Source organism: Homo sapiens, chromosome 9, assembly GCF_000001405.40.
Source record: "Homo sapiens chromosome 9, GRCh38.p14 Primary Assembly".
In the NCBI taxonomy this organism is placed as follows: Eukaryota; Metazoa; Chordata; class Mammalia; order Primates; family Hominidae; genus Homo; species Homo sapiens.
This window is the reverse complement of record NC_000009.12, coordinates 13,273,894-13,280,066: the sequence shown is the minus strand read 5'-3', so window position 1 is coordinate 13,280,066 and position 6,173 is coordinate 13,273,894. Positions and strand designations below refer to the sequence as shown.

Here is a 6,173-nt window from a genome sequence, read left to right as displayed (position 1 = left end):
AAGGAAAATCTGAGGAGCTAGAAACAGGCTATCAGTTTCCGCAGGTTGACAAAATCGGCAGATAAAAATACAAGACTGCCATTAAATTTGAATTTCCGATAAACAACGAAGAACTTTTTAGCATAAGTACGTCCCAAATATTGCATGGGATATACTTGTACTAAAATTATTCCTTTTTTTTTTTATTTGAAATTCCCATTTAACAGAGCAGCCTATATTTTATCTGACCACCTCACAAGTCCACTACCCACACCCCAGGTCGAGCGGCCCAGGAGCGAGTTTAAAACCCCGCACAGGCCTGCTCGGCCGCGTCCCCTGATTGGCCAAGGCGCGCCCGCCGCCCCGCCGGTCGCAGGCGTCACGGCAGCCCCAGCAGCCTGGGCCCCGCCACCGCCTCCGCGGCAGCCCCGGTCGGCGCAAGTGCGGCGCGCGCTGGGGGAGGGGGCGCGGCGGAGCGCTAGGCTGGCGTCGGGCCACCGCGGGATTAAGTTTCTCAGTCACGCGTGAGTGTCTGTGCGTTTTGATCCGAAGCTCCTCGCCGGGTCGTTACTTCAGAAGAGAAGACAGTGAGCGTGGGCGAGGCGAGGCATCCAGAGGCCCCGGCGACCCCTGCTCCCCAGTCCTCCGCCCCCTCGCGTCGCGGCCCTGGGCGGGCGCCGCGAGCCGGGTAAGCGGCGCTTGAGCCCCGGCCCAGAGGCCGAGGCGCGCCCCCGCGCCCTGCGCGCGCGCCGGCGGGGAAGGTGCGCGGGCGCCCTGGGCTCGGCGCTTGGGGGTGGGGGTGGGGGCGGGGATGGGGGTGGGGGTGGGGGTGGGGGTAGGGGTGGCGGCGGGCCGTGGGGCGGTGGGGCGGTGCGCTTGCCCCACCCCGCGCGGCCCGGCGCTTCGCGGAAGCCGCTGCTGTGGCTTTTTTAAAAGGATGGGGTCTAGAAGTTTCCTTTGCTACTCGCAAGTCTCCACTCCCCCCAGCCCCGCGGTGGATAATCCTAGACCTTTCAGCACCCCCGCCACCCCTTTCTTTTGCTCTCGCTGACTAAGAGGTTTAAAAGTTTTTCCTTTTCCTTGACCCAGAGGGGCACAGTCTTGGTGTCGGGGGGCTGGGGGTGGGGTGTTAGCCTGGGGGCCCGGAGCGCAGACCAGGCCTCCAGGGCGCGGGAGCCTGTTGCTCTCCCCTGCAGGGGCCGCTCCCGGACGCCCCATCCGCCGTTACGTGGTCCCGGGATGTGCGGGTTGCGGTAGAGAGTGGGCAGCAATGCTCCTGGTCCTGCGTTCTCGCCTTAGCCGCGGGGACCCCGAGGCGAGCCGCTAATTGGTACCGGTGCCCCGTCCCTCACCCCTGGCACCGGCGCCCTTTTAACCGCCGCTCCCGTTGGTGGGAGCACGTTGGTCTTGTCTCTCCCTTAGTCTCCTCACCCCCCGCGCTGATGGGCGTCTTTGTCTGCGATTTGGCAGCCCCAGGATGCCGGATGTTACCAGGGAAGCGATGTTTGGGAGACGCTTTGTGTCTTGCGGAGTTGCGCGTTTGTTGGGTGGTGATGGTGTACATTTTTGTTTGCGTTCTTTGCAGAGGCACAAAGGCTGGGCTATTCTTGCCTGCAGTCACATGGAAATCAAGCGGAGACTGCGGGGGAGGAGAAGTGGCCAGGCGCCGGCGGGAGGTAGAGGCCGCTCCGTAGTCACTGGGGGCGAGTGGGGGCCCCTGGAGACCTCTACTGCGCGGTGCGGCTTTTGAGGTGCTCCGCTTGGGAAGACCCCGGCAATGGGCACTGACTGCCTTTTTGCAGTAGGGGCTGCGGTTGGAGGCTAGTGTTTCCTAGGTATCATCAGATAGATAAGAGGACCATGACTTCACCAGCGTAGAAGGAAAACTTCTCCATGTTCCTTGATGTCATAGAGAAGGAATCTGATAAGTGATCAGACTGCCTCGTCCTGCCTTGTAGACAGTTTGATGTAAACATCCCCTTCGTGTTTCCCTAGAAATTCCTGGTTTAGGTTACCCTTTATAGAATAAATAACACCTTATCTGAAAACTAACGAGGAGGAGGTGATGGTTTCGGGCTTGGGAGTTTTACATGTTGAATTTGGGTATGAGTGATTACAATGAACATCTTGTAATGTTGGAACTATCTAAATTTGTATAATGTATGCCTTAGCACCTGATGGAATTTTGGCAAACAATAGTGTTTTAAAAACCTAGCAAAACTTGGCCAGGCGCAATGGCTCACGCTTGTAATCCCAGCACTTTGGGAGACCGAGGTGGGTGGATCACTTAAGGTCAGGAGTTCAAGACCAGGCTGGCCAACATGGTGAAACCCTGTCTCTACTAAAAATACAAACATTAGCGGAGCGTGATGGCTCGCACCTGTAGTCTCAGATACTAGGGAGGCTGGGGCAGGAGAATCGCTTGAACCCGGGAGGCAGCGGTTGCATTGAGCCGAGATCGCGCCACTGCACTCCGGCCTGGGTGACAGAGCGAGACTCTGACTCAATAAATAAGTAAATAAATAAAAAATAAAAATAAAAGCCTAGCAAAACGTTCCTTGACTTGATCTTCTAATACAATACTAAGCTTTGGATGGAGGCACCTGTACCCTTGTGTGCAATGTAGGCAAAACTAGTTTTGGGTACCCCTTGACTCTCCGTTCTTCTTCCCTATCTCATTTGCCAAAACAAACAAACTAATGAAGATTATTCTCAACATATTACTAATAGATTATGGTGTACCTTATTTCTTACATATGTTCCTTTTTTTTTCCTTTGATCCTTTCTGTGTTTATTCTTTTCACTTACCTTCTCTAGTTCTGGTTTTCTTTGTCCCTTTACCACACTCCTTTTTATTGACTAGGCCTGAAGGTTGTGGCTTGGAAAGGGAGGGATCTTTAGTCAATTTTTAGTGTGCTTCAAAGTCCTATCACCTAGACATTGCTCTGCTTGACCCTTAAAGACATCTTTCCTTTTCAGATGCATTTAAATGTACCTAACTGTGAGGAATAGAGGCTGGTCTCAGAGTTTAGTATATTTCTACAAGTTGAAGCTATTCAGAGAGACTCTTGGAAATCCTTGATATGTAACTTTACATGGATTTAGGTCTAGTTGGCCACTTTTAGTTTTTAACTGCTAGGGTGGAGAGATTTTGCTTGACAAATGATCAAGTGAATCCATTGTCTAGAATTGAGATTAAGGGATTTAAAAGCTGGAGAGGAACAATGAATTGCCTGGAAGGTAACTATCCTCACTTAGAGGTAGATTATTTTCTCCAGATTACATCCCAGATCTGACATAGTCTTGTCTCTCTCAGGTTGAGTTGCAGGTTGGCTACATTTTGTATATTTGGAAACGTACAAAGTACTCTGAATTTCATGAAATATTTTGAGGCAAAGTTGGACTGGAATGTCCCCAAATATGGTAGAGCAAATAGCACATCTGCCAGAGAAAGATCCTACACTTTAAAGAGAAGAAGCAGACAACTTCCTGGTGAATTTAGGACTGCTTGATGGTGCGTATGAGTGATGATATATGTCCAAAACAGTTGTATGTACTTTTGAAAATAGATATTTGGCCTAAAGTAGGATTTCATTTGATATTGTTACGTACATTATCAACCCCATATTTATAACAATAAAGGTTTCATTTTTTCTTGTAAATTAGTGTCATGCATAGGAGAGCATTTATATAAGTACAGTTCGGAAATGATATTTAGCATGGTAAAATTGATATACTGTGATTAAATAATTTTAGTGGGATTCCATGTGGGAGAATAAGACTAAGGAGGTAAATAACTACTTCTCGATAAAGGAAACCAGTGGTGAGGAATCCATTGCCTTCCTGTGATACGTTTCCAGAGAAGATCCGAGGTATTCATGTAGTAGGTAGTAATAGATGGATTAGGAAGAATGTTGTATTGGGTTAGGCATTGGGGAGAGTACAGAATAAACATGATTCTGCTCCAGAAGTGTAGGGTCTTAGTTGGAGGAATCTAATGGGAGAAATAACAGAAAGGTTTTACATGTTAAAAATGTTACAGGGATTCTAGGAAAGTAGTGAAGTATAGGGATTAGTTGCTCTTATCATTGAGGTTAGTAAATAAGACACAGAAAGGCTTTGGTCTTGAGATGAGAGGGTGGAAATGAAAGTTTTTTTGATATGAAGTAGAGCTTAAGTCAGTGGTTTTCCCTTGAAAATGGACATGTATAGAAGAGGCTGGGATGTGAGTGGGCAGTGGGTACTGGAGAGCATATTCAATTTGTATATTTCTGGAGTGGAATAGAGGATTTGTGCCCAGGGGAAAAGGTTGGATAGGGAAGAGCAATTAATGGAGAGCAATGAAGTATAGGCTGACTTTTATCTCTTGAAGTTTCCACTTTCCAATAACCCAAGTCACATTTCCTTCTGAGAGTTAACCTCTTCAGTGCAATCTGGGCTTTTTCTAACATGCACCCTAAAACGTTTGTAGCCATTACCTATTACCCAGTTCCAAAGCCACTTCCACATTTTTGGTGTTTGTTACAGCAGCACCCCATTTCCTGGTACCAAAATCTGTATTAGTTTGATAGGGCTGCCTTGACAAAATAACACAGAGTGGGTGGCTGAAACCACAGGAATTTATTTCCTCACAGTTCTGGAGGCTGGAAGTCTAAAATCAAAGTGTTGGTGGGATTGGTTTCTACCAAGCCTCGCTCTTTGGCTTGTAGATGGCTGAGTTCTCCCTGTTTCTTCACATGCCCTCCCTCTGTGTATGTCTATAGCCTAATTTTTTATAAGGGAACCAGTCATATTGTGTTAGAGCCCACCCCTAGTGACCTCATTTAACCTTTATCTCCAAATACAGTTATATTGTGAGGTACAGGGATTAGGATTTCCTGTGAATTTTTAGGAGACACAGTTTAGCTCATAACAAGGTTCTCAAAGAGACTTAGTGTGTAAACTAGTGAGACTCTGAGGCAGTGAGCTCGTATTGGAGGCTAGTGCATAGTCTGAGCATTACTGGGGTAATTTGATGTTTGGCAAGAAAGGGAAGCTGCTATTTGAGGACAAAGGTATTTTATCTTTGGCCTGAGGCCACTTATTTTCTTTCTCTGGATGTTCATTGGGAAATTGTGCCTCTGTGGCCTTTTTGTGGACAGAGCATTAATTTTTTTTTTAAGTGTTTTATAAAAGCATTCGTTTTCTTAAAATATTTCTTTTAATGGTTCTTAAAAATAGTAAAGCGCTAAATTTGGCAAAGCTGAAACACTGTGTTGTAAATGTCTCAGTGGTTTTTGAGTCTGATTAAAACAACAGAATTTATTCTTTAAATTCCATTGATCTAAAAACTGTCTGTCTTATACGTGTTTTGTGGGGTAATGTATGGCATAATCTTTTTTCCTTCAGAAATGTTTCCCCCTTTTGGGAAAATATGATTAATAAAAGGGAATTTATGTTACATAAAATAAAAACTTTTTTTTTTTTTTGTTTTTTAGGTGTTGCAATTTTATTTGTTGAGTTAATGAAACCATTAGAGCCATTCTTCCCAATCTGGCCAGCTAAGTTAAAAATAAATAAATAAATAAAAGGAGACAAACTCTTACTTTTTTTCTTCTGGCCTGTCTGCCTGTGGTGGTTAAATTTGTTTTGTTTAGGGAATTCTTATCTTTATCCACTTTTTAGTTTTATTTGTGTCTGCAAAAGCAACATTCATTGTTATTTTCTTGTAAACCACTCTGCCTCCAGATCCAAGGTGCTATAAATAAGTGCATGAGGGGAAAGTGAAAAATGAAACATTTATTAAAAAAGAAGAAAAAAAACCCAGTAACATCAACTACCAAAAAAAAAAATTAAGAAAAAACTTAATGTTGTTGCTTATGTTTTAAAATTATTTTGATAATAAAATACATAAGGTAATTATTTATTTTAGTAAATAGCACATTTTAAAAGGTATGGAAGATACAAGTGAAAAGAAGACGGAAAGCTTGCCTGTAATTAGATCACCCAGATACCACTCCCACAAGAAAATCCCCAAGACACATATTTTGAAAATGAAGATATTTAAGTTATTTTGATATAACAAATGGATAGAGCAGCTGTTGATCAATAGATTTCACCAATTGCTGCCTTTCTAAATGAGCATCATCTGATCTGAGATTATTAAATGTTATATAATTTGAGTTGATACTAATAGCATTTGTTTGAACTGATGT

At 44.9% G+C, this 6,173-nt stretch overlaps 1 protein-coding gene across 52 annotated transcripts in view, besides 3 other annotated features; it reads left to right on the top strand.

Annotated features, from left to right (window-relative positions):
• Positions 375 to 6,173, top strand: part of MPDZ (multiple PDZ domain crumbs cell polarity complex component) — a 173,986-nt gene continuing 168,187 nt past the window's right edge. For 12 of the 52 annotated variants that reach the window (NM_001375427.1, NM_001375426.1, NM_001375424.1 and 9 more), the window contains exon 1: positions 375 to 667. The gene's annotated coding sequence lies outside the window, so the exon portion shown is untranslated. Of the gene's footprint in view, positions 1,038 to 1,309; positions 1,656 to 3,295; positions 3,494 to 6,173 lie in introns of those variants that run through there. The other 40 variants (NM_001375425.1, NM_001375420.1, NM_001375419.1 and 37 more) reach the window with 12 other exon arrangements.
• Positions 752 to 1,467: an enhancer, noted in NCBI's record as "H3K27ac-H3K4me1 hESC enhancer chr9:13278599-13279314 (GRCh37/hg19 assembly coordinates)". NCBI's record gives its function as "activates a minimal SCP1, AML or CMV promoter by ChIP-STARR-seq in naive H9 embryonic stem cells {active_cell/tissue: H9 hESC(naive)}" and the evidence as "EXISTENCE:reporter gene assay evidence [ECO:0000049][PMID:30033119]".
• Positions 1,468 to 2,183: an enhancer, noted in NCBI's record as "H3K27ac-H3K4me1 hESC enhancer chr9:13277883-13278598 (GRCh37/hg19 assembly coordinates)". NCBI's record gives its function as "activates a minimal SCP1, AML or CMV promoter by ChIP-STARR-seq in naive H9 embryonic stem cells {active_cell/tissue: H9 hESC(naive)}" and the evidence as "EXISTENCE:reporter gene assay evidence [ECO:0000049][PMID:30033119]".
• Positions 2,184 to 2,899: an enhancer, noted in NCBI's record as "H3K4me1 hESC enhancer chr9:13277167-13277882 (GRCh37/hg19 assembly coordinates)". NCBI's record gives its function as "activates a minimal SCP1, AML or CMV promoter by ChIP-STARR-seq in naive H9 embryonic stem cells {active_cell/tissue: H9 hESC(naive)}" and the evidence as "EXISTENCE:reporter gene assay evidence [ECO:0000049][PMID:30033119]".